Source organism: Homo sapiens, chromosome 6 (assembly GCF_000001405.40).
Source record: "Homo sapiens chromosome 6, GRCh38.p14 Primary Assembly".
Classification (NCBI taxonomy): Eukaryota; Metazoa; Chordata; class Mammalia; order Primates; family Hominidae; genus Homo; species Homo sapiens.
The window spans coordinates 2760101-2786952 of record NC_000006.12 but is presented as its reverse complement, the minus strand read 5'-3'; the positions used below and the strand labels follow the sequence as shown (position 1 = coordinate 2786952).

General features: G+C 45.1%; 2 protein-coding genes across 8 annotated transcripts in view, besides 6 other annotated features; one reads left to right on the top strand and one right to left on the bottom strand.

Annotated features, from left to right (window-relative positions):
* On the bottom strand, positions 1-21560 carry WRNIP1 (WRN helicase interacting protein 1). Of its 5 annotated transcripts, none has more exons than NM_020135.3 (7): positions 20509-21560; positions 18071-18262; positions 16592-16833; positions 7461-7690; positions 3392-3547; positions 2550-2629; positions 1-1946 (listed from the first exon to the last, which is right to left on the bottom strand). In NM_020135.3, exons 1-7 carry the CDS (start codon positions 21328-21330, stop codon positions 1671-1673), a joined length of 1998 nt encoding a protein of 665 aa, NP_064520.2. In that variant the 5' UTR covers positions 21331-21560; the 3' UTR covers positions 1-1670. The 5 variants fall into 5 exon arrangements, with proteins under 5 accessions (NP_064520.2, NP_569079.1, XP_047275034.1 ...); NM_130395.3 differs by having other exon boundaries at positions 16592-16758; XM_047419078.1 differs by lacking the exons at positions 16592-16833; positions 18071-18262.
* MYLK4 (myosin light chain kinase family member 4) overlaps positions 16577-26852 on the top strand; it is a 106740-nt gene continuing 96464 nt past the window's right edge. Inside the window, exon 1 of one of the 3 annotated variants that reach the window (NM_001347872.2) lies at positions 16577-16895. In NM_001347872.2, coding sequence (NP_001334801.1) covers positions 16840-16895 — 56 coding nt within the window. In that variant the 5' untranslated portion in view covers positions 16577-16839. Of the gene's footprint in view, positions 16896-21054; positions 21611-26852 lie in introns of those variants that run through there. The other 2 variants (XM_005249078.5, XR_926185.4) reach the window with 2 other exon arrangements.
* Positions 20640-20959: a silencer, noted in NCBI's record as "silent region_16831". NCBI's record gives its function as "represses an Ori minimal core promoter by ATAC-STARR-seq in GM12878 lymphoblastoid cells {active_cell/tissue: GM12878}" and the evidence as "EXISTENCE:reporter gene assay evidence [ECO:0000049][PMID:35858748]".
* Positions 21130-21589: a silencer, noted in NCBI's record as "silent region_16830". NCBI's record gives its function as "represses an Ori minimal core promoter by ATAC-STARR-seq in GM12878 lymphoblastoid cells {active_cell/tissue: GM12878}" and the evidence as "EXISTENCE:reporter gene assay evidence [ECO:0000049][PMID:35858748]".
* Positions 21724-22018: an enhancer, noted in NCBI's record as "tiled region #3960; HepG2 Activating DNase unmatched - State 1:Tss, and K562 Activating DNase matched - State 1:Tss". NCBI's record gives its function as "activates a minimal TATA promoter and a strong SV40 promoter by Sharpr-MPRA in HepG2 and K562 cells {active_cell/tissue: HepG2 | K562}" and the evidence as "EXISTENCE:reporter gene assay evidence [ECO:0000049][PMID:27701403]".
* Positions 21750-21799: a silencer, noted in NCBI's record as "silent region_16829". NCBI's record gives its function as "represses an Ori minimal core promoter by ATAC-STARR-seq in GM12878 lymphoblastoid cells {active_cell/tissue: GM12878}" and the evidence as "EXISTENCE:reporter gene assay evidence [ECO:0000049][PMID:35858748]".
* Positions 22116-22995: an enhancer, noted in NCBI's record as "H3K27ac-H3K4me1 hESC enhancer chr6:2764192-2765071 (GRCh37/hg19 assembly coordinates)". NCBI's record gives its function as "activates a minimal SCP1, AML or CMV promoter by ChIP-STARR-seq in naive H9 embryonic stem cells {active_cell/tissue: H9 hESC(naive)}" and the evidence as "EXISTENCE:reporter gene assay evidence [ECO:0000049][PMID:30033119]".
* Positions 22180-22269: a silencer, noted in NCBI's record as "silent region_16828". NCBI's record gives its function as "represses an Ori minimal core promoter by ATAC-STARR-seq in GM12878 lymphoblastoid cells {active_cell/tissue: GM12878}" and the evidence as "EXISTENCE:reporter gene assay evidence [ECO:0000049][PMID:35858748]".

Genomic DNA, 26852 nt, shown 5'->3' with positions numbered 1-26852 from the left:
GCCCTCCAGCCTGGGAAAAAGAGCAAGAGTTGGTCTCATAAATAAATAAATTTATTGAATAAAAAAAGAAACTTCCCTAGAACTGAAAGGAGTTTCCAGATTGAAAGGCCCAACAAGTACCCAGTGCAGACTTTTAAAACACGGGGAGCAAAGACAGAAGAGTCTACAAGTTGATAGAGGTTACAAACAAAAGACCACACACATCAGGATGCCTTCAAACTTGACAACAATGTGGGAAAGTGTAAAACAATGCACAAGTAATTTCTTACCTACAATTTATTACTAGCCAAACCCTCAGACACGTCTGAAGGTACAATAAAAGCATTTTGAGTCTCCTGAGGTCTAAAAATACTTTTCCTCCACACACCCCTGCTCCATAAAGCTACTAGAGGGTACATGCCACCTGTGCCAGAAAGCAGTCAGTCCTGTCATCAGATGGGGTGCAGGGAGAAGCAGAGGAAAGCTCCAGGGTGATGATGAAGGGAGATTCTGGGGATGGCAACTGCACACTGCAGTGCAACCACTCCAGACAGAAGGAGGGAGGCCAGTCGGGCCAAGCCTCTGCAACATACAGTCCCTCCAGCCTGATAAAACTACTAGAGGATGGGTTGCACTGAAATAGCGGAATAAACCAGTAAGGCGGGATGGAGCATCCAGAAAATGGGCATCTCACTCAGAATAAAGGCAGAGGACGTCCCAGGCCAACAGCCGGCAGCCTTCCAGACATGGCAGGAGGACCCCAGGAGGGATCACGCAACAGCAGGAGGAGAACCGACTACCTGAAGGGGCCATCCTTGTGGGCATATGCACGACATGCAACTAAGGAGAGGGAGAGGAAGTAGCAGTAGGGACAAATAACTCTTAACTGAGCAGAAGGAGTGGCGTATTTTGTGTTCAGGACACACATAAAGTAAAAGAAAAACGACTGTTTAGAAATATGGAGCTGCAAGAAGAAACCAGGACAAGTGGGAAAAAATGGGCATGGGACTACTGGAGTCTTCCACAAGCCATTTAAAGAATTCCTTTATGTATTCCTTTAAAGAGATCAGAGTTAACTTTCAACAAGATAACACTGACTTCTTAACTTAAGCTCCCCACTCTTCCCATCTGGGGTGATTTCTCCTTCCCAGTATCCACCCACCAAATGCAATGGTGACAACGCTGGTACCTAGCATCCAGGCAGGAAAACCATGACAGAATCGAAGAGTACTTTGAAATAGTTTTATTGGCTCGTAAGACCTTTGCATATAAAAAAAATACCCAAAACACTATGCAGTATTAAATCACAATTACATTTTTTTACCAATTAAAACTACCCAGAATATACATTTTTTAAAGAAAAGAAAATCCTACAGAACTGAATTCTGAAATGACATTATGACTTAAATACTATGACAAAATAGATAATTCCTTATAACATTAATTCATTGCACAAAGCTGCCAGGTATTTTCATAAGCATAACCGCTGCACCGAGTGCAAATGAACACAATTTCAAAGTTACACATTTATTCGAAAGAACTGCGCCTCCACCTATGGAACTCTTAAATTTCTGGCACAAAATGTTGGTCTGTTCTAACTTCCACCAGGCAACCAACTTTGCAATCCACTAACTTTCTTTCTGGCCCTCCCTTAAAAAAGCAACATCCTTCTGCTGTCGTGCCCTGAGGAGTCAGCACCTCCTCTGCTTGAAGAAATCTACCCCCCTCAACTCTTCAGGCAGGTACTCCTGATCCACAGGCTCGCTGTACATGGGGTTGTACTTGTAGCCTTTGCCATAGCCCAAATCCTTCATCAGCCTAGTGGGCGCGTTCCTCAGGTGCAGGGGCACGGGGGGCAGTGGCCCCTGGTGGTTCCTCAGGCAGGCTTTGACGTTGTTGTAGGCGCTGTACACCTCAATGGACTTTGGGGCTCTGGCAAAGTAGACCACACACTGGGCCAGAAGCACCTACCAATGACACAGAGGACACATTTTACTAGCAAGATGCCAAGCTTCTGTTCTGCAGAGCCCCTTCTGATACACAGCTCTAGGTAATTCTGAGAAGATCCCCACATGCTTTTATTATCCCCCTTTTGCGCCTACAGTCTGGATAACCACCTACGACAGACAGAAGAAATTCTCATGAGGTGAAACGAGAGGCAAACCAGGTGAGTGGTTTTCATTTTTTTTTTTAACTGAAGGACTTTTTACTACATTAAATTTTTCTTAAGCCCCCAATATATAAAAGAGATGAATATGAAGCTGCTCTGGGGGCGAACTTGCAGAGGCTTTGCTGTTCAGCTCCTTTAACCTTTCTGCTCCCTGGAACATATGGAGCATGTGCTCTGAACCCCGGAATCCCGAGAACAGTTTGAAACATGACCTCGTTGACACAGAAGGTTTCCCTCTCTAGGAGTCTAAGAGTCTACAATTGGAATTCCAAAGCCAAGCAGCATACTCAGTGGGTCCAATACACCAATGGTGAAGGAGGGACATTTATTCAAATCTACAAAGGGACAGAGCACGAGAGAGAAAAGAAGTGATTTGCAAGAAATGAGCTGATTACTTTACCTCACATTCAGGCATGCCTATAAAATGACAGCCTTGGTAGGCAGCAACCGCTTGTGTTAACGCAGACGGGTCTGCCAGACCTGCCACACACAGAGACAAAGGAGAGTTTCAGTCATGACACACACTGTCCTCCTGGCCTATGTGCAGGCGACCACAGACCACCACTGCTTGTACACTTGGTGACCAAAACAATCCCATGTAGCAAAACAGCCTGACTTAGCTCTAGTCTCTGATCCCATGAACTTATGCAAGAAATATTGAGAGTGGTTACTGTGTGGTGTTAAGAACTGTTTCCTTGTGGATAAAAACTCTGCATCTAGAAAAACATGAGTCTCTGTATAACAAACATAAGAAGTGAAGGCTATGGAGACATTCACCAGGATGGAAACACTAAAAACAAAACATCCCCTAAGACCAAAGAAGAGGAGAGCTTTCCTGATCTTTTTCTTCATATAGTGTCTAGAGTCTTCCATTTCTACCTTGGGAGCTGTCCAAAGAAAACCTTGAACACCTGACTTAAAGCAAATTTAAAAGCAGCTCATCTATTGCAATACTCTGAATAGCCACTCATGTTAGTAAAAACATTCCCGAAGAGGAAACAGAAAATGGTGACTTTATGAACATAAACATTCAAAAGCACATACACCAGGAAATAAACGACTGAGCTCAGGCATAAAGTCTTATCTTCTCCTGCCAGTCTCACATAGCCCTGAGACATTCTTCCTGCTACCCCCGCCCACCCCGCCCTGCAAAAAAAAAAAAAAAAAAAGCCACGATGTAACTGTTAGCCATTTCCCCACCCTCATGGACATAGGACTCCGGGACCCTCCCATCACACTCACCTATGTCCTCGCTGGCAAACCTGACAAGCCTCCGTGCCACGTAGAGTGGGTCCTCTCCTCCCTCGAGCATGCGAGCCAGCCAGTAGAGGGAGGCGTTCTGGTCTGAGCCCCGCATGGACTTGTGCAGGGCGGAGATGCAGTTGTAATGCTCCTCACCTGACATCACAAAGAGCACCACTCACACAGAGCTCACAGGAGGGGCGCCCAAGCCATCTTCACCTCCGCCAGCTGACTTCCAGAAAGCCTGAACGAATAAAGGCCCTGAGAAAGCCGAGGAGAGGTTTGGGCAGCTGCCTTAACCGTGCTCTGAGTGGGGTGCACCAGCTGCTGGGGCTTAATCCCAGTCCTATTCAGGGGAAGAGGCTGCTGCAGCAGAAACCTGTGGCTGTCGACATGGAGTGCACGCACACGCACAGAGGCAGGAGGGAGGAAAGGTGGTCCTCCCAGCTGGTGGATTTGCCAGAGACAAGAGTGGAGGGGGACGAGTCTTCTGTTCTGGCTCTATCCCGTGGCCCACCATCTACTGGAGGAAAAGCAACGGTGGGCCTGCTCGGAGCCAGGAGGATGTAGAGCCAAGTGGCAAGGGCAGCTGTTATAGCCCATCTGTTCCTCAGTGTCATTTCCAGCTGCCTTTCTGATATCCGAAGCCTGTGGTCATTTAAACCTCCTTCTGCCAGCCTTGGTGTGGGGACACCTGTGTGGCAGGGTCCCAGAAGGACCGACACGTGGACTAACCAGCTTCCGCCCTGAAGTGGACGGAAGCCCACTCTCTCACCGCCTGGTCTTACTACTCCATTTTTACCCTAGATTCACATGAAATCAGTGAAATGTGCTTTAAAAAAAGGCATATTTAAGGGCAAAAAAATGACAGCTAAACAGTTCTCAGGAACTAAGCAGTGGCACCTGCATACATTTCACTATTCTCTGGCCATCGTCCCTTAGGTAAGTTCAAGGAGGGGGCACCCTCCTCACGAGAAAGCGGAGGATGGTGTTCCCGTGAGTCTCACTCCTCCCAGAGGAGCACCTGGTCTGTGCTCAGCATAAGCCCATGTCCACAATACGACTGGCGCCAGCCACAAACCCTGGCAGCTGAGCTCGCTGGTAAGATGACAGTTGGTCTTCAGGTGGAGAAGAGAGCAAGCGAAGATGCTGGCCTCCCACAGGGGAAAGACCTGCAGGACCCACGGCTCAGCCTGAGTGATTCTGGTTTCTGAGAGCCAGGGCAGATGGATGGGTCAGCCCAGCTACTGGATTTCTGAGAACAAACTGAGTGTCTCCTGTGCAGGGCTCCCCTGGTGAAGTCAGAGTGCTATGGACACTGGCCGAGAGGGTGTCCTGGATGACATCTGCATGGTTCTGGCCCACTCCCTCACCCTGCTGGCCCAGGCACTCAGGCTACGCTCTGCTCCTCTGCAGGGTGGAGGAAGGCGGGGAAGAGGGTAGCAGGTAACAGGCCTGGCTAAACTCACGGGCATGGGGGCTGGAAGAAACTACCCACACCACTTTATGTCAAATTTAAACTCCCCCTACACAGGTTAGTCATCTTTTCCCACTTTGTCAATGCCAGGGGCAATACCACCAGTATAATGGACAAGAGCACAGGCTCTGGGACCAAACAGCCTGGGCTGGACCCCCAAGCTCATGGGCCATGGGCAAGTTCCTGATCCTCACTGTGCCTCAGGTTTCTCATCTGTAAAATGGGAAAAACGAGACCACTTACCTCACAGGGCTGTATTAAATAACACACGCCTGGCACAGAGCAGGCACTGTAAAAAGATTCTTTTGCATCAGTGATAGATACTAGTATTATTCTATGCTACCTTCCATGTTTGCTTTTATTACACACTGCTTTATAACCTGAAATCTGACGACTTCTATAGAACCCCGATGTCAATGCATGGCAGAGAGTTTGCTCTCATTTAGAAATTCCTTCACTCTGATGCAGAAACATCACTGGATCCTACTAGTGGGTAACTATGAACTAGGTGGCATATACAAAAATAATCACAACTCTGGGGGTGGGTCTTTGTCTCACTGGAGTTATAAAAAGGCCCAAGAGTATAAGCTAACAGGTTTCCAGGGCAATGCTTCCACTATCCCTATTTATAGAGCAAAGCCTGTAAAAGCAGCTTTCTCCAAGATCTGAATGATATTTATGTGTCTGCGGATCCACTGTGGGGCAGACATGTTGCACTGGGGTGGGGTGTGTAAACACACTCATACTGGGAAGATGTATAGGATGTGGGGTTCTTAAGGCGCTGGCACTAGGCAGCGGCACTAGGCAGCCTCCACCACCCCCCAGCTCCAAGCTATAGACAAGGTGATCCCCACTGTGCAGAGCTCTGCAACGTGGAGCTCAGGAAGTGGGATTCCTAGGACTGAACCCCTCCAAGATCCGCTCTGTATGTGCATGGACGGGTGACCCCTCTCAGGAGCATGATGTAATGGGTGAGATCAGTAACAGCATGGCAAGGCTGGTGTGGAGGCAAATGCGGACGGGGGGAAGGACAGTCTTGGGAACCAGTAAGACCTGGATTTACGGGTCAGTTTCACCACTTGCTTTGTTATCTTAAAATGGGGGTAATATTAATAGCTATCTCCATAAAGCAATTTTGAGAATTTAAAAAATGAATACACCTATAAAATACTCAATGGCTGAGTGTTAGTGAATGCCATGTTATATGGATCTCAAGTGACAGTCTGATAAAATGTCAAAGAACAGTCCTAGTCGTTCCAATCAAAACAAGGCAAATCCTTTGGGACACCTACAAGAAGAGAGAGAGAGACCGCTGCTGCTGCACTTCAGAAACAATGGCGATCCCGGCATGGTGAGATTTTTTTAATGTCTTAAAATCTTTTTTCTTGTTCATATCTACATTTTTTCTATTTGACCAAAAGTCAAGCAGGGCTCTACACACCTAGAATGTGTTGCTTTTCAGACTTTGCAAGCATTCACGTCATGCTCCAGAGCACTAGGGAGAGCCAGCCATCTGAGCAGGCCCCGCTGAGGCACATTCACGTCACAATGTAGACAGGATTATTTATTCAACTTGCCAGTGTGTCCTTAGCACTAATGAACACCCCTGAGCTACCATCAGCTGAGGCACGCTAAAGCCAAAAAGCTTTGGTCAGCCCCCCTAGGTCATGCAGCGAGTGTGCTCACCCACGAAGAGGCAGCGCTTGGAACCAAAGTCATTCTTAAGCCCCTCCACCCCTTCTCTAACCAGTAAGGACTCTCCATTGTCACGTGGCACAGCCTACGTGAGATCAGGAACATTCAATTATCAGCCTCCTTTTCTGGCAGAGCTTTGAAAAGTGTGGAAATTATATTCCACAGTTACTGCAACATGATTCCATCCAAAGTCCCACAAATGCTCAAGCAGCAGAAGTTTGCTAATCTACAGTATGTTATATTCATCTCCCACTTCTTTTATAAAAAGATGCAAATGTGCTGTGCTAATGACATTTAATATTGCTAAGTCACAGATTTAATAAGAGCTGGTATCAAATCTGCTATCTGTAAATGCAGTTCTACAAAAACAGATAAGTGCACACAGCAAAATTAAATTTTTGAAAAAGCTACTACATAAAATAAAAACTTCAAGATCCATGACTATTTTTTAGTATAGACTCTAGAAATAAAGCATTTTAATTCTCAATTAAAACTAATAAGTCATTATGACAAAAGTCCTCTTTTTATTTACTGCCGTTGTAAATGATCACAAAACATATTCATTGTCAAGTGAATGCACAGGCTTTCAAAGGTGATTGTATTCTGCAAGGTGGGGAATAGCCAACTACCTTCTAAGGTGAATGTGCAGCCTGCCATTTCCAACCCCAAAACTCCTCTAGATTCTCAACAGGGCAGCTTCTGCTTCATGCCTCTCTTCGGAAAGGTCAGCCCTGTGTAGAAGGCTTAATACCAACATGCAGATCCACCTGAGAATCACTGGAATGCTCTGGACCCAGCTGGAATGCTTCCGGAACCCAGTCAGGCTTCCGGAAATGAGAATGTGTGCACACACTTCTTTCCGTATGGTTTCACTCTTTCCACAGGTGAATTACTTACCTGCCCGGTCATATAAAATGTGGGATCGCTGTAGGCCCTCCTTCACGTCATTCTCTGTGATCAGAACTCTACTGGGAGAATAGGATTGCCCACTCTTCTTACAGAACATCTTCCTAGAGCTTAACCTAGCCAGCACCGCCAGCTGCAGTCCGTTCAACCCAGCTCGGGCGTCACCGTCACTGAGGTAAGCCAGGGTGTCTACTGCTTTATCCTCTATGAACATGGCGGGCCTGAAACACAAGCAGGGTTAGTTACGGTCACACTCAGGCTGCATACTTCTTGTTCTGCACATGTCTTAGAAACTCATACTTCTCAGCAAGGACACTGAAGAGTTCAAGGCCTTTGCCTCTTATTCTCACCTTTGTCAATGTGCTTAAGCATCATCAAGACTACGAACTGACTGGGGCTCCTAAGTCACCAGGTTATCGCCCTGTATCTTATGAGTGTCGAGGGTATCTCACTGCATAGGTTCATACATCTAAGTCTGTGTGAAACAGACACTGACTGGCCTGGAAAGTCACTGTTGACAGGTGGTCTCTCTGGTTCTACCCTGCACAACAGTGAAAACTTTATTAGAAATGCTAGCACCTCATTACCGTGTATGGAAAACATGTTCCAAATGCAGCCTACATCCGATGAGACAGATGTGCTTAGACCACTTTCCACACAGGGGAGAGTCAGCATTATATCTGAATATTAGCTCTGAAGGGCTCCAGATCATGCAGTTCAATTCCTTCATTTTAAAAACAACAAATTGGGTCCCTAGTTACTCTGAGCACAGCAGGTCCTAGAAGCAGGTCTCAGGATTCTCTTGGCCTGGGGAATCTTGGGATGCTGCAGTAGGTCATCTCATAGTGGACACTAATCATGCAAAATCCGCACAGGGTAGCAGAGAGGTCATTAGCCTGGGAAGCGACGAGAAGACTGCTGGTACATAGCCATGAGACCCTGGGTAAGCCACCTAACCTCTCTCTGAACATCAGGACTAAAACTTACAGTCACATTTCTAAATTTGGACCCTCATAAATAAGATCTAACTATGATCAGAAGGCTGACTCAGTAAAATTTTCTATCCCTAGTTGAGTTAAACAAGACATCTAACACATTTCATAACTTAGTGGGGTCTTATTCCTGGCTGAGCTGCTAGCTGCACATTTGTGAAGCAAAAAAATAAAATTTTTCAGTTACAGTTCACCCATGTCATCAACATTCAGCTGAGAACATCTACAGTAAATAATAAGCCCATTAGGACTGTCCGAATCAGCTACCTGGAAAACAATGTACAGGCACCAACGGGGCTGGGCCGGGGAGGGGTGGCAGTTTCCGAAGGGGACCCAGCTTGCCTGCTGGATCAATGCAGAACTCCTCAGCATACACCCACTCACTGACACTACTCTGCTCACTGAGTAACCCAAATAACACCAATCTGCATTTCATTCACGGAAGGATTTGTTCCCAATGCCTTAAAGATGCCTCATCTCACCCCCATATTTACCAAAGTTGATTTCCAGTTATTCCTTGTGGGTCTCTCACCACACCTAAGACAACTGGCCAGCCCCAGCTTTACAACAAATGACTCTCTCCTCACTCATGCCAACTGCCTGGGCCCCAGAGCCAGTGGTGCAGCCTGGAGACCCATCTTCCTCTCTCCTGATGGTAGCATTCTCTCAGCAGACCTCACCAGAACAACAAAAAAACAAACACCGAGGCCATGTCACTGGCACTCTATAAAGCCTGGGGATCACTGCTCAACCAGAAATTAGTTAGCAAGTCTTCTGGAAGATGATTTAGAAGATAATGATGGACAGAACATATACTAAAGAAAATGTATGGGGAAGGACCAGCATCACAGGGGTGTAGCAGTACGTGACATGCCTGAGAGGGAAGGGTGCACTCTCAGCCCCTTACTGCACTCAACCTGTGTGGGAAGACAGGTAGGGAGAACAGAAACTGCTTGGGCATCTCATTTCTGCCTCAGAACTAGTAAAAACAATGGATTCTCTCTCCTTGGAAAGCTGCCTAGCAACAAAAAGCCTTCAGGACAATTGAGGGAAGAAAAAGGAGTCAAAGCAGGAGCCCCATTGGATCCTAACGGACTGAACTAGCCTATATCCTGCACCATGGGTTGGATTGTGTGTTGATTACATTACATTCATCATCCCTACTATGCGGAGCACCTCAAGGAGAGGAATATTTTATTCTTTGTATTCCCAGACCTGGTAGATGATAGGCATCCAATATTTGCAAAATGAATGGACTAACTTCAGTTTTATCATAATCTCAGAGTGAAACCTTTACTTCTTATAAATTATATGGAAAGTATAGAGAAAACAAAAAGAATCCATATTTCCAGCACTGAGAGATAAAAATGTACTTGATATTTCCAGCAGAATGAAAGCTACTGTGCCAAGTGCTGACTTTACGATCCACTCACCCATGCAACCATCAACCTTACAGCTAACCTAAAACAAAAACTGGGACCATATTTTACATAGTTTTACATCCTTAACCATTAAATAATTGTTTGAAAAACAAGCTACTCAGACCTGTCAACATTTACTTTAAAAAAATTTACATTAAATTTTAAAAATAGACAAAGGGAGAAAATTCACCTTCTGCTAGACTACCTTGACGTTAGTATTTTGGTATGTATCCCTTCTCCATGAATTTGTCTTTTGTATGTATTTAGGGGCATGGCATGCTCTTTGGACAGTGACGAGATGGGCAGCCTTATATACCATGGTATTTACTAGTATAAACTGCCTCATTTCCATTAGTCCTCATATACAGACAGGGAGGCAGGCCTTATTAATTAGGACAGAAGCCAGCTAGCCGTCTACTCCATTGATTTATCAACAGTATGCTGTGAATAAGTCTTTAGCAATGATTATGTATTTTATGTGGTTGGAAAATAAGGTCTTCCTTTGGCTTTTAAACTCCTGACCAAAGTACAAGTGGTTCCACACTTCTGGTTTGGAGTCATGGGGAATGGAGGTGCTGCCACAACGAAAGCTACCTGAGCTCGCGCCACTCCCTTCTTCTTCCTCCCCTTGGGTATAATCCACATTTTAAATTTCACCCCGTCCAAAAGAAGAAAGTATTTCGAGGCCCAGATCAATCTGTCGGCAACTCTGTCCAAGTAATACAGGACCTGCTGACAGCACTCACAATGATCACACAAGAAAATTACAAAATGGAGATTCACTGTGAAGACGACTGAGCAGGGAAAGGTTCCACTTAAACACCCAATATATCTTGAACTCCCATTTACTAAGTTCTGAAGAACGAAGTAAGATATACTAAAATACCCTGAGATCTTAGAATGGGAAGCCCATGAGAGAACTCATGCCAAGAATGATGAAGGGATAGTTGTATTGATATTGGCAAAATCCCTCAGCAAACTGCGGCACAAACTATTTTGAAAGAGTGTTCCCAGTCTAGAGAATTTACAATTATTTTTAAATTTAAGCATATATTAAAATTAAGCATATATTTATAAAGTGTTTTGCACTTAAAAATAACCTTCCAAAGGTAGAATACAATAAAAAGAGGTAAAATCTATTCTGGGGATAGACTGCCCAAAATGTCATAACATCCTACATGGAAATAAACAATAGGAAGTAAATTATGTTGTTATAATAAAACACTATTTATAATAAGGGAAAATTGGTTAAAATAAATGCATTGGAAAAGATTCTATTTCTAGTTAACAAAACCTAGAGATAGAAACAGACTTAAGAGAGCTTGGCTTCTCCAACTGATGAGAAGGGCTTTAATTTTAACAGAAGAATATAGGAAGCTCTCTTCTTTCCTCTTCCAGGTGCCTAAATCCTGAAGCTTTCTACACATTGGGTAATACTGGAATTTGGAGGATACTACTTAGACAGCTGGATATGTAAGTTGGAGAAGGAGTGCAGTAAGTAAAAATGTACCTGTTATTTCAAGGCAGAATGAAAGAATATGCATGGCTTGGTTAAACTCTCCCTCTCTAAATTACAAACCAAACCCCACAAATCTCTTCCACTAAGGAAAAGGAACATTTCATGGTCAGGGTGATAACTGCTGTGTAGAAGTTTCAACCAGGGATATGCATCAAGTTAGACACAAATACAGCCACATGTACCTTACCTACCATAGACTGAGCTCAAATCTCCAGGGGCAGACCCTGGGCAAGGCATGTTTCTAAAATGTATCCCAGGGAAGTGTGATGTGCAGATCTGGTTAAAAGGCTCTCCTGCTGCTCTTACACAAAGAAGTGCCAAGAGAGAAAAGTCAGAACAGAAAAACCGAGCAGTGGGTCCATCCTCTGTAAACTTGGCACCTCCACCCCTTGTAGCACTTGAAGTCACTGAGAAGACAGAGACATGCCTTAAACACTGGCTCCATCACATTGAAGCTGGTTGGTCTTGGGCATGTTACTTAACCTTTTTGTGCCTCAGTTTCCTCATCTAGTAAATAGGAGGTAATGAGATCTACTTTGCAGAGCTGTATTGAGGACTGAATGAGATTAAGACATGTGGAATGCTTAGAGCAGTGCCTGCCATGTCATGAGACTCGACAAATACTGCTTTGGTATCAACAGCGAGGAGAATCACCCTCATCAGACTGTGCAACAGCATACTCTCCAGAACTGCACATATCCAAGGCAGAGCCCCAGATGCTGCCGCTTCCATAACATCAGAGTGAAAGCAAAGCAAAACAAAACTGACTTTCTCCACAAAGAGAGAAGGTACATTTCAGATGACGACGTCTTTCTGTTTAATCCCATGGAGGCACATGTCTTTCCAAATTACATTATACTTGGTAGGGGTCTGTAGTGGGTTGAATAGTGACCCCAAAAGATGTAAGTCCTAATCCCTGGAACCTGTGACTGTGACTTTATTTGGAAATAGGGTCTTTGTAGATGTAACTAAGGGTCTCAAGATGAAATCATCCTGGATTTAGAGTGTACCTTAAATCCAATGACAAATGTCCTTACAAAACACAGAAAAAGAGAAGACGTAAGGACACAGAGAAGAAGGCCACCATGTGAAGATGGATGTAGAGACTGGAGTGACATAGTCATAAGCCAAGGAATGCCAAGGGCCATCAGATGCTGGATGAGAGCATCGCCTTGTTGATACCTTGATTCTGGTCTTCTGGCTTTCAGAACTGTGAGGATAAAGCTCTGTGTTCTGAGCCACCCAGTTTGTGGCAATTGTTACAGCAGCCACAGGAAGTGCATCCAAGGACCATGAGATCTGTGGTTCTGGCTGCTGGTGCTTTTATGGCATTATTTTAATGCACCCTTGTATTAAAACAGCTATGTTAATGTACTGTATTAATGTACTTAAAAAATTTTTAAATAAAAAGATTGACATCTACTCTATACCAACCATTTATTCTGGCCAATCCCTTGTATTCTGGAGTTCCACTACCTTTCTTTCTATTCAATGGCACAAAAGGTTATTTAAGACACTTTAAACTTTTATAAAAAGAAGAATCCATAGCCACCTTGTTTGGGGGCCAGCTTGTCAGGGGCTCTCCTCTCCAGATGATTAGAGAAAAGCCCCACACCCAGTTACGCCACAGCCCTTACCCAGGGACAGACGCCACTTTCTGTCTTCCAACCACCTCTCGGAACTCAGCCTAGCTAGGCAGAGGGCAGTTATGGCTTCTCATTTCACTCTCTTGATCTCCAAAGACTTGTATACTCTATCTGGTTCACAAATAATTGATTCTTTAGGAGTGTTTTTGACTATGTATATATTCTATGACCTAGGAATCTATATTCCTTCAAAGCAGCAAGTAGTGCAGGATGACGAAATGCTAGCTTACTTTTTCATTTTCAGCAGCACAAGCTCATTCTTCGTATCATGAATCATGGACATTTTTTTCCTGGCCTCCAAAATTAACCCAGAGCAGACAGAATCTTCACTGTTTGTATCATGTGATCCAAATATTTTTGGGAGAGCAAAATACCTGAACACTACTGCTTAGCCATACAAACCAAAGCAACTATGGCGTAGACAATGAGCTTTCTATTTCACTCAGTTAAATTCTGCTTATCCTTCAAAACTCAACTCCGCATCCCCTCATCTAGGAGGTGAAATACTGGATTTCACATATTCTGAATGCTGCTTCTCTACGCCCACTGCACTTGGCGTATAAGCGTGGCACTGGAAGTGGACCTGCTCCCCTAGCCTTCATCATACTGCGCTCCCTCTGAAGGCACAGGAACAAGCTTTTCAACCCTCAGCCAATGCCTAGCATATGCAGGAGCTTCAATTTTGACTGAATAATAACTACAGGAGGGAATTTTTTTTTAAAAAAAGAACACTTATTTCACTTTAATGGGAATTTATCACTTACATGAGTATACTGTGTGACAACTCACAATTCCTCAAGTGCAATCAAGAACGGCTAAGCGGCAGCTTGATTAGTTTCCAAATCCAGTGCCCTGCTCACCTCCTCTCACGTGCAGTTCAACAGCCTGGGACTTCTCTGTAAATGTTCTAGTTGCTATCTAGGGCACCAAAACATGACACAAGAATACAAATGCACACCAATAGCTTCCTGGAGAGAGAAAGTAAGTATATGGGGTTGGAAGTCTTTTCTTTCAACTAGATTAGTGTCACCAAATCTGATTTATATGCACAAGGATGTATATAGAGCTGTCAACAGGGATTGGAAAGCAAAATTTTACCTAAAACAACTAAAAGACATCCCAATCCACTCTTAATTATCCCTGACAGTTGGGGTGGCAGGTACTTGTATTCGGAAATCACTTGTAAGAGTTCTTTCTGTGGCCTATGATATCTCCTAACTTAACTTCTTGTTAGAATTGCTAACAAGTTGACCAATTAATGGTTTTAAGCTTAACATTCTTTCATTTTACTCTGCTTGCTGCTGATGAAAAGGGCAATAGTATTAAAGAAAAAGGCTCTTGATACCTGGGTAATTATCCCTTATGCTGGATAATGCAAAACATATTAAACTACTTTTCTCATATCGAAAGCTAGGATTTATTCATTTCCAAACCATTCACAAAGCACATAATGTGTGCCAGGCACTGTGCTGGGGATATGAACAGGGACAAGCTCCTGTCCTCACAGTCTTCCCAGGAAAGCGGGGGACACAAGATAGCAAATATAATTGGGATCAAGTCTAAGCAAGCGGTAGTGGAAATAGTAAATCATTTACTGGATATGGGAAGTTTTCTCTGAAAAGCAATTTTAGCAGATAAACAATCTCTAGCTCATTGTTATATCAGTTTCAATAACTAAATCTTAATTATTTCACTTGATCTTCTCAAACTTTAATGTGCCTGCAAATCACCTGAGGATTTTTAATAATAAAATATAGAAATTCTTCTCACAAGGATGAGCTCCTTGGCTGCCGCCTTTCTCATTTCCTTTAAATTCCTGCACGGCAGTGACTGGGGAGAGGTGAAAAAACCTGAGGGTATCTGAGTAACAACTGATTATTATTGACTTCATGTCATCAATATTAATTATTGATTTCATGTTCTATTTCATGAACTGATGACATGAAATCAATAAAAATCACCCCAGACAAGTACACATGCAGAATATTAAGTTGCAGATACATTACGATAACCAGTACACAGAGCAAAGAACACACAGAAACATGAAACATGTTAGGATTTCCCCCCTTTTCTTTCAATTTGTCTTTACCATGTGGTTCTATGCGTCTGTAATGAGAATTCTGTTACGGGAAACCTACACATGAGTATCCCACATCTGAAGTGCCTGGGACCAGAAGTGGTCTGAATTTCCTATTTTTTTGATTTTAGAATATTTGCATTATATACTTACCAGATGAGCACCCAAAATCCAGAAATCTGAAGTGCTCCAATAAGCATTTCCTTTCACAGCATCATGAAGGTGCTCAAAAAGCTTTAGATTTGGGAGCATTTTGGATTTCAGATTTGGGATACTCAACCTGTACTACATATGAGGAGCTGGCAGCCCCCTTAGGCTCTGACAAATGCCCACCACATAAAGCACTTCTGAGTATGAGTCCATGTGGCTGATACCACAGGTTCCACACACTGCTTGTGGCCACAGATGTAATGGCTATCCCCATCACAACGGTATTCCAAAACAAGGCCACTCTGTCCTACCCAGTGGTCCACGGGCCAAATGTTTCAATGCTTTCATTAGACACAGCAGAATTCTCCCTCCATCTCAGACAGGAGCAAATGGGGCCAGACACATAGGGAGAGCCTGGTGAAACCTAAACCCTGAGCCTAAACTATGCCTTGTACTTTAATCCTCACAGAAAAGTGGCTCCAGAACTTGGCCTCAGGGCAGGCACGAGCAGCTGCAGAGTCCACAGCAGGAGGAGGTGGGCAATAGCCTCTCATCACACCAGATTATGTTCCATGGCAGTATTTCAGCCAACGTATGAACAAATACCATCTGAAGAATATGTTCTAATATTAAAAAAAAGGAAAACCCCTGACCCAAGAAATCAAATTATCTATGATATACACTTGGTGCATTAACGAGCTCATGTGGTACTCATGATGCAGAAATAGGTCACTAAAAGGATAGGGACAGCCTATAATGTCATATTCAGTTAACATTCCTTTACTTTCATGAAACTGAGTTTCAACTACACAAAAAGGATTACATAATTTTAAGGTTACAAGTTAATTTTTACTTGATTTTTTTTTTTTAACAAAATGCTAAACTGCAGGTTAAAAAGAAATTGAAACATGAGTACAATGCTCAAAAGAGTTGTATGGTAAGTCTAGAAAGTATTTATCTATCTATTTGTTCTATTCAATGAGGGACATAAAGCCTTTCAAATCATCAATAAGGCTTCCCATAGAAGCCTAAGCACAAAAGCAAACACCCAAGAACCAAAACAACAAAGCAAAGTTAAAGCTTGAAGAATTATAGAAACACATATTAGAGGCTGGAAAATGCATCTTCAAGTGTGCAGGGATAACTTTGTTAGGTATAATCGAACATTTCCCTCCTCTTTTATTTTCATTACGGGCGGATCAACATTTCTTCTCTGTCCCCACCCTCTCCTCACTGACGCCCGGCCCTTTCTGGCCCCCTGCCAGGAGACTCTCTGGGAGGTGTGTGCCCCCAGGACGCTGCACACTGTCAACTTACTCTGAGCTGCTGTTGCTGCTGTGGCTCAGAGGGTCAGTGGGACGGCTAGAGTCTAGGACGTGGATTCCCAGGGAGTTGATCGCTCGCATTAAAATAGTCACCATTGCCTCTACTGGAAGCTTCTCAAGAACAATCACTCGACAGCGGCTCAGAAGAGCAGCGTTGACCTGGAAGGAAGGGTTTTCAGTGGTTGCCCCAATCAGAGTGATCGTCCCACATTCCACGTGAGGAAGGAAAGTGTCCTAATCATGGGAGGAAAACAGAAAAAAGTGATTCCAGTCAACAGCCACCTGCAGAATCCTATGTAAGTTGGCTATCCCTTCCTTCCTTTTCCTCATTTTTATCTTTCGAGTTCAGGAATAGCAGCAGCCTTATATTCACTGAATATAGATGCAATATTTGGGGGAGTACAACTCTTGCTTTTAAGTCTGAAACACATCTTCTGGAATGCCCGTCCAAGCCTGATCTCTTGCTGGTAGACTAATAGCTTTAAGTAGAATTCTAGCTTAGTTTCAACATAAATGATTTCTTTACTCAGAAAACCATCTTCTACCAAAGGCTGAACTGGCACATAGCTTATATGTAACAGCTATTTATTTATAGACAAGAACACACAAAAACATTAACACTTCCAGAATCTTCTTCCACAGCAAGCACTCAATCATATTATTATTATTCCTATTATGCTGTTTTATGGGGAAAAAATACTAAGATGAGTCAGTGGTCCAATATGAAACCTAGAATGCTAACGCCTCGTCAGAACTTTAAAAGGGTCTTTTTATTCAAAAAGGTTCAAAAAAGGCTCAGTAGAGTTTTGTGAAATATTCTATGTATGATTAAAAAGTTACAAAAAAAAATTTTTTAAAGTTATGCCTAAAAATTTAATTTTTTTTTATTTAGAGTATAGCTCTCAGATCTCAGCCCAATAAAATTTTAATGTTTATTTTTTTTTAAATCCCTAAGTGGCTTTGTTTATAAAAATAGCTTGTGTCCTTTTATTTCAGAAACCCATTTAAATAAACAGTAATCATTAGCTCTTCCAACATTCACCTTGAAGACAGAGCCTGGAGTTACAGAAAATACCGATTGTTTAATTTTCAAAATAAAAATACTGTTAAAGTAATTTTTAAAAACCCATTAAAATAATGACCTTAAAATCATTATTTTACTGTTCACAATGACTCCTAGTATTTAGATTAAAAATTCCTAAAACTGGAAATTTGATTCAAAGGTGCTTTTCTGATACGTATAGCTCAGGGATATGCCAACCATTTCATTTATCAGATAGAGAAAGCATTTTCTTGTTATCAAAAAACACTAAGAAATGTATGGAGAAATAGGCTTGAAGGAGATGGGTTCACAAGCCTACGCTTCTTTGTAAACAAAGCTCGTAAGTCTCTAGCGTTTGTATAGTGATCTCACACACTTTATATTGTTTGATGTTCACAACGACCAAAAGGTAGAAGGAAGTTAATATACCTGCTGAGATTTATTGAACCGATGAATCTCATCAATAAAAAGGATGGTTTTCCTTTTGAAAAAGCTCTTTTCATTTTGAGCTTGTTTTATGACATCTCGCACATCATTTGTCTTGGCATTTGTTGCAGATAATGTCACAAACCTTATGCTATGTTTCTTGCTGTTGCTGGCTATGATGTGAGCCAGAGTGGTCTAGAAAAGATGACATACATGGAGTTTGAAAAGCTGGTAAGACACAGAGAGACCAGCACCCATGGGAACCACCACACGCAGCATCACTATTTACCAAAAGCAACTTGACCTCGGAAGAATGCTGAGCAGCACAGAAACAATCAAAAATACCACAGGACATTTAAAAACAACAACAACAAAAATATTATAAATAAAACAGGAAAGTAGCTAAACCTTAGGCTAATCCTGACCTTTTCTCCTCTGTCCCTAACCACCTTTGATTCCTTTTTGGGTGACTCTTTAAGATCTTTGGAATCCCAGTAAAGAACGGCTGTCTTGATTTAGCAGAGTGACAGCTGTGACCTCTCACCAAAGAGAAAATTCTCCCTCCTCTAGCCGAGACAGCACGGAAGGATCTAGGTGCAGAACTCATCGCAGAACCACAGCCCGAACTGGAAGCTCAGGACAGCTGAGAAAAGGAGAGTGAGGGAGCATTTGCCTTGAGACCAATGACATCCACCTAGCATTTGAGATGACTGTAGGCCACTTCTGCATGTTCACTCTGGTAGGAGATGAAGGGCAGCACTGTGGTCACATTAGCAATTACTAGAAAACCAAGGAGACCCAGGTAAAGCACTTCTTGGGTCCTCAACAAATATGTATATGCTGTTATTAATATGAATGTTGTTATTAGTACTAAAGGATGAGAAGAAAAACTGAAGACTGTTTAATGACTGTGACAAATCTGCACCTAAATGGAAAGGTGGTACTTTCTTTTCTAAAAGTTGTAGAGCACCCATTCTGTGGCTGCTTCTTTCAGAAATCCCCGCCTGCCTGCCTTTTGGAATCAGGCTCGCAAGTCACAGATGCCTAGGCTTGCAAATGACCAACGCCCATCTCACTGAGCAGCCTGGACCACCCAAACCTCTTGCCTGGCATTTGGTAGGTGGGATGAGCTCACCCACTCGTCTCCCTAAGGACCTTCTTGCTGTCTGGGGCCACCAACAGCTGATTATCCATTCTCATGATCTTATGTAAAGACTTCACAATTACTAAGAATGATACTGCTCAATCCCTTAAATGGGGTTAACAACTAAATCCATGGGGACAGACGTCAACAACTCGACCACCATCATCATAAGATGTTATTTGGGATAGATGTGGTTTATTCCTGGCCAAAGGGAAGGCATGAGTGCAAACAAGAAGGCACAAAAAGGGCAATTCATTCCAGGAACTGGAGTTAAAGGGGGTGTGCTTAAGTTGTGGGAGATAAAGCTAGAAAGAAAAATAGGAGAAAAATCATAAAAGCCTTGTGTGCAAACGAGTCTGAATCTCAAAGCTACAAGAACTCTTTACAGTTTGATCCCTGAATTCTCCCTTTCCCTTCCTGATGCTGGTTCTTCTCCCTTATTATGGATAAAAGCATCCTGTATTTAAGCACTTCTTAGCTTTCTCTGTTTTCTGGCTCACCTCCTCCATTTTTTTCTCAAGTGTTTTTCCAATGACATGCTTTCTAGACTCACAATATCCTAACTGCCCTCATCTGGAACGCTAACGCCTCACGAAGGGACACAGAACTGGACACCAAAATGCACGGATGTTTCTTCTCTAGAGTACAAGGCATTATGAGAAAAGTTACGGAAATACCGGATGAAAATGACTTGCAGATGAAAAAGTTTTTATGTTAGTTTTGTAAATACATGAGTATATTTAGTAAAATCAATATATTCTCAAGAATATAAGAATGTTAAATAAACTTATTCTTAAGAATAAATACCAGTCTGTTAAACCAACAACTAGTGGAAAAGGAAGGAAGCACAACAGAATTAATTTGATTTTTTTCAAAGCTGAATCCGTTATTATGTACAAACGGAATATACAAATGTTTCTTTACAATTTAAACATGCTGATTCCTTGCGAATTCGGTTACTAAATCAAAGTCTGGGGAGGGGGCGGGGAGACCGATGGAAGATAAAGGCAGATCAAATCTAAGAGTCCACATCTTGTAAAACTATGGATTCACAGACATCGTCCTTTTGCAAACCCGGCAAGCCTGCCTTACCAATCTGGGGGTGTGTGCCCTTTTCACACCCATCACAGACTCCACCTGTGGACCAGGCACTGCCCCAGCCCAGCCCAAGTCTGCACCCCCTTATCCAGGAGAGGCAGGCGGCTTCTTTCGAGGGCAGCACACCCGGCTCTCCGACCATCAGCTGCATCCACCGCCGAGATAACTACGGAAGCCCAACGGCCAAGGCCGCACTCACCTTGCCGCAGCCCGGCGGCCCCCACAGGATAAGCGAGGGGATTTCGTTGGTCTCCAGGAGCGAGCGCAGCAGGGTATCCTGGCCCACGGCCTTGCTCTGCCCGAAGTAATCCTGCAGCGTGTCAGGACGCATCGTGTCGGCCAGCGGCTTGCCCTGTAGCATCTGTCGGATCTCCTCGGCAGCCAGCGCCCGGGGGTGCGGGCGGCCCCCGCCACTGGCCCCGAAGGCGGTGGCGGCTTCGGCAGCGTCCGCGTCCCAGTGCCCCGGGTCGTCCTCGCCGTCCGCGTCCGCGTCCCCGTCGCCATCGCCGTCGCCCACGGCCTCCTCCTCCTCCTGCGCCTCCGCCTCGTCCCAGCTGCGCGGAGACGCGCTCCCCGCCGCGGCGGCGGCCGCCGGCCTCTTCCCCGACCCCTTCCTCCCGGGGCTGCTGGAGCGGGCCACCGGGAAGTCGGGGATAAGGCGGGCGCCGCTGGGTGTGGGCGGCGCGTCGTAGCTCTCGCGGCTCTCGGTCTCGCCGCCGTCGTCGCCCTCCTCACCCTCGCCCTCGCTGCTCTCGGCTGCCGTCGGGGTGGCTGGCTGCTTCAGCGCCGAGCTCTCCGACAGCCGCCGCCTCTTGGCGCCGGGCGGCGAGGGCCCCTTGGCCCGCTCCCCGGCGCGGTGCGACCCGGCCGCGGGCTCCGCGTGCCCCGCCGGGTGGAGCAGCAGACAGCGGTCCAGGTGCGAGTTGATGTGCGCGGCGGGCATCATCTGCTGGCACACGGGGCACTGCACCTGGTGCAGCTGCGAAAGGAAGGGGTCGTCTTCCGGCCCGCTCACCTCCATGGCGGCCGCCGCCCTCCCCGGCGCCCGGCGCGGCCGCAGCAACCCGTGCGCACGCGGAGGCCTTCGATGCCCTCCGCTAGGCCCCGCGCCGCGAGACCCTCGCTCGGGGAACCAGCAGGACGCTCGCGGGCCGGAGGAGGGCGCCGCTCATGCCTCACGTCCGCAGCTCCCGCGTCCGCCCGCCCTCGGCCGGCCGCTGGCAGCGCCTCACGCGGCGTGTCGGGAAGTGTAGTTCGTGGCCGTTTGCCCCGGCGGCGGAGGCGCCTCGCGCGGCATGTAAGTAAGTGTAGTCCGTGGCCGTTTGCCCCAATCACCGCCGAGAATACCTCGCGCGGCACTTCGGGAAGTGTAGTCCGCGGCCATTCGCCCCAGCTGCCGTGCGTCCATTTCCGACTCTGAGAACAGCCTTTGCGGGGGCGGGGGAGGGGCGGGGGGGGGGGTTGCGAGGCGAGCGTGGTGCGCGTGCGCGAGGTTGCGCGGTGGCGGACGCAGCCCTCCGCCCAGGCCTGCGAGTCGCGCGAGGGCAGGGAGGAGCCACGGACTGCGCGAGGTTGTTGGAGCGGCGAGCGCCGCTTTCCCGGCCTTCCGTGCTGGGCTGTTGAATGGGCCTGTGGGGACAAGCAGGAGGCGGCCGCAGCGGGTCGTTTGTAACGAAAGGGAAATGGGGGAAAAAACCCAAAAGCCTCCAATAGAAAACCAGTGTTCTATTGGACGTGAACAGCAGAAAAAATACAAACAAGTACGCGAGTGAAAGAAATGCTCACCTCAGTAGTGGTCAGGGAAATGAAAATAAAGCGTCCCTCGCCCCCTTTTAGATGTGTTGGCGTTTAAGTCAAGGGCGGTTCACCTACAGCGCGCTTCGAGCCAAGAGATGCTTCTCGCGGGCCGCTGTGTAATAGTGGCAAATCGGAAACACCAGCCTTCTGTCTCCTTAGCAACCAAATGATGGGAGGCGCCCGTGTGCAATTACGTCCTAGACGGATAGAAATGGAAAGAATATCAGATTAAAACAAGTGTGGTAGTCTGCATCTTTGAATGAATTACCATGTTATTTTTTGCTTTTGTCTAAGTCTCCCGTTTTAAAACATGTATCTCAAAACAGGCATTTTTGGTAACTAGAAGAGGTAAATGAATTGAGGGAGAATGAAGACTTTTCCGAAATTTGGCCAAAACTTGAATTTTTATTTCATCTGGGCAAGAGCACATTGAGGGTCTCACTCGTTCTGTCGCCCAGGCTGGAGTGCAGGGCCGCGACCAGAGCTCACAGCCTTGAACTCCTGGGCGCCCGGGACCCTTCCGCCTTAGCCTTTGGAGTCGTCCTGGGGTTACAGGCTGAGCCACCACGCCTGGCTGGCTGGTTAAGAGTTGTTTCTAACTAAAAAAGTTAGGCTCAAAAATAAGATTAATAGAAACGCTAGAGAAACAAGTTAAACTTTAATCATCATGTAACGTGAAACTACCAAAAGAGGATCGTGAGCTTTCATTATTTTTTTGAGACGCAGTTTCACTCTTGTCCAGGCTGGAGTGCAATGGCGCAATCTCAGCTCACGGCAACCTCCGCCTCCCGGGTTCCAGTGATTCTGCTGTCTCAGCCTCTCGAGTAGCTGGAATTACGGGCGTCCGCCACCACACCCAGGTAATTTTTTTGGATTTTTAGTACAGACGGGGTTTCTTCCTCGAACTCCCGACCTCAGGTGATCCGCCCACCTCGGTCTCCCAAAGTGCTGGGATTACAGGCATGAGCCACTGCGCCCGACCGTGAGCTTTTTTTTTTCATTTGTCCCTCAGCAGTGAGAGGTGACAGCATTCTGGCAGCCCTCTCAGTCCTCGCTCGCTCTCAGCGCCTCCTCTGCCTTGGCGTCCACTCCGGCCGTGGTTGCGAAACCCTTCAGCCTGCCGCTGTACTATGGGAGCTCTTTCCTGGGCGGGCCAAGGCCGGAGCTGGCTCCCTCAGCTTGTGGGGAAGTATGGTGGGAGAGGCGCGGGCGGGAACCGGGGCTGCGCGCGGTGCTTGCGGGCCAGCGCGAGTTCCGGGTGGGAGTAGGCTCAGATAAGCCTCGCGCTCGGAGCGGCCTGCACCACCGGCCCAGGACGGTGAGGAGCTTAGCACTTGGGACAGCACTTCTCGCCAGGCCGTAGTTGCCTCCACGCAGCGCAAGGCTCAGGCCTGCCATGCCTGAGCCTCCCCCCAACTGGGGACTCCTGCGCGGCCCAAGCCTCCCTGAGAAGCGCTGCTTACTGCCTCACGGCACCCAGGGCCGTTCACCACCCCAGAGCTGAGCAATGCAGGCTCATTACGTGGGACTAGCAAGCAACTCTATACTGCAGCCCCAGTTCAGAAATTAATGGGAGAAGCCAACTGGGTTTCTGAGTCTGGTGGGGACTTGGAGAACCTTTATGTCTAGCTAAGGGATTGTAAATACACCAATCGGCACTCTGTATCTAGCTCAAGGTTTGTAAACACACCAATCAGCACCCTGTCAAATCAGACCAATCAGCTCTCCGTAAAACAGACCAATGGGCTCTCTGTAAAATGGACCAATCAGCAGGTTGTGGGTGGGGCCAGATGAGAGAATAAAAGCAGGCTGCTAGAGCTGGCGATGGAGACCCGCTTGGCTTTCTTTTGCTTGTGTGGGTGTTTTGTTCTTTTATTTTTTGCATTAGCTGGTGTTTGGGTCTGAATTGTCTTAATGAGTGGTAATACTCACTGTGGAGACTTGTAGCTTTATTTCTGAAGGCAGTCAGACCACAAACCCACTGAACCCACTGGCAGGAACGGCTAACTTAAGAGATGCTGACCTAAGACCTCTAACGGTCTCCGGGAAGGTCTGCCAGTTGATTTCTGAGCCGGCGAGATCAGGAAGCTACCAGAAAGAAGAAACTCTGCACTGTGTTTAAGAACTGTTAACAGTTTCCGTGAGGGTCTATGCGTTTATTCATCAAGTTAATGAGAGTAAAAACTCATTGACTGCGAGCACATAAGGATTATTGCAGGAGCATCACAGAAGTGAATACTTGCAAAACAAGTTTTAGGGCTGATCTCAAAGCAAGGTTTTCAAGAAAAGTGTTACTAAATGTGGAAATACAGTACACTGATTTTAAACATTTATAGAGATAACGTGGCCACATGATCAATTAACCCATCCAAAAAATTTTAAAATGGAAACAAATTTCTTGAATCTCTTAATATAAGGCCTAAAATTTCTTTTTTCAGAAAATAATGCTGTGGAAAATCTACAAGTCTACTTGTAATCATTGTTAGTATTTTGGTACCTTAAGTCTCTTAGGACGTGTTTCAAGATTAGACAGTAGAGTTGCATATAGACCTAATTTTACGTCCAACTTTATTGTTAATAGGGTTTTCAAAAGTATTGTCATGGGAAACTTGTGTACTATGGGAGTAAAAATTAAGAGAGATAGAATTAATATAAACTCCGGTAATCCCAGCAGTTTGGGAGGCTGAGGCGGGCGAATCACAAAAGGACAGGAGTTGGGGACCATCGTGGCCAACATGGTGAAACCCTGTCTACTAAAAATACAAACATTAGCTGGGTGTGGCGGTGCGAGCCTGTAGTCCCAGCTACTTGCAAGGCTGAGGCAGGAGAATTACTTGAATCTAGGAGGTGGAGGTTGCAGTGAGCCGAAATCACAACACTGCATTCCAGCCTGGCGACAGAGCGAGAATCCGTCTCAAAAAATAAAAACAAAACCTAATGTATATAGTATAATGCCATTTCCTTTTTCTACTTGTGCTTTTCTATCCTATATTATGTAAATAATAAAAAGGAAAAATACAAAGCAAAGATTGTGTGTGTGTGTGCATGTCTCCCACAGCTACATACATGGATGAAGTTGAGCTATTTGGATGACCTATGAGGTGAAAATGACTCTAGACCTTGACTTCAAGAACCTGGGTTTTGAGCTGTCCATAGTGTGACCTTGGGCAAGCTACATAACTTCTCACACTCAGTTTCCAAATCTAAAGGAGGAATAAGAATGCCTACCTCACGGTCTGTCATGAGAATTAAGTGAACTTGTCAATGTGAAAGTATTTAGTAAAGTGCCTGGCACCCAGTAGGTCCTGTAGTAATATTTTTTCCTGAACCCTAGTCCCCTCTGTCTGAAGTTCAAGGTTTTCTCCACTAGGTGGTGATGGTAGAAAAATAAATGAAAAAAACGTACTTCAAAAATCACCCCTCCTCTTAGATTGCTTTGCCAATCAAATTTAAACTTTCTTTTCAGATCAGCATAAATACAAATAAATTTAAACTCGTATAGTATAAGGTCCCAGGAAATGAAATCAATGTAAAGCAGAAACCTAGGCTTCCATTTTCTCCTTTAATACCTCACTGTTTAATTGTCTGCAGCTGGCCTCGGTGGTTTACTTTTAAGTGTGTAACTATCTTCTCTGTCTTCCTTCCCCACAGTCAGAATGGGGAGGATAGATTCGGTGGTGACTCAAATAGACCTGTCAGTAACGACAAGTAGAGTCAGCCTGGCTGCAGTGCCTATGAGCAGGTATTTTATAAGCCATCTACTACTAGTGAACCTTTGGGCATGATCTTGCGCACCTTCATGTTCATACCTAAGGTATGCTGGACAGTTGAGTCCAGTTAATCCCACATGACTCACATCCCTGCCATCTTTAGTCAGCATCTTAAAAGTTAGTCGTATGGTTATCTATTCTTCCTACTCTGATTACTGCCCCCTAACCCAAACTCATGTTCCTCTCTCTTCTTGACTTTCCACTACATCTTCTGGAATCTATGCCACATTTCGTATTGTTTATTCTAACACATTTTATATATTTCCTTACTATTGTAAGTAGAACCTTTTATTTACTCTATTTTCTTACTGCCCTTTATTGGTATGAAAGAAATGCATTGATTTTTTGTTAATTTATTTCATACTTGGCCTTTTTGTGAACTCTTATTAGTTTTAGGTGATTTTCCATTGATATTCATAGTATAAAAAGGAGTATATACAGCCTTTCTCCCTGGCTCCTGGCAGAGATCTTCAGAATCCCGTGGGATTTCCTGAGTGCTAGGAGTGCCTATATAATGCTAATGAAGCAACTCCTAGTGGCTCCCTAAGGTTGGAACTTGGGACCAGCTCAATCTCAGGGGCTAGAAATTGAATTTGATTGCTTGGCCAACAATTTAATCAATCATGCCTACACAATGAAACCTCAATAAAAACTCTGGACATAGAAACTCAGTGGAGCTTCCTGGTTGTGAACATGATGATGTGCTGGGAGGGTGGTGTGCCTGGATTCTACAAGGAGAGGGCTTGGAAGCTCCATGTCTGGGACCCTCCTGCCCCTCACCCATGTGTCTCCTTTATAATAAAACTTATAAAACTATGCACATACTCCCATATATTTTAAGTCATCTCTAGATTACTTATGATACCTAATACAATGTAAATGCTATATAAGTAGTTATTATACTGTATTGCTTTTTTATTTGTATTATTTTTTGTAACCTATGCACATATGCTCATATATTTTAAATCATCTCTAG

What these genes read in the sequence shown, in the direction of transcription:
- WRNIP1 (NM_020135.3), bottom strand. Translation starts at nt 21,330, where the DNA reads ATGGAGGTGAGCGGGCCGGAAGACGACCCCTTCCTTTCGCAGCTGCAC. An exon ending in GTTTGCCAGCGAGGACATAG is followed by an intron (nt 2,630 to 3,391) that starts GTGAGTGTGATG and finishes TGTGTGTGGCAG; the next exon opens with GTCTGGCAGACCCGTCTGCG. An exon ending in TAGGCATGCCTGAATGTGAG is followed by an intron (nt 1,947 to 2,549) that starts GTAAAGTAATCA and finishes TGTCATTGGTAG; the next exon opens with GTGCTTCTGGCCCAGTGTGT.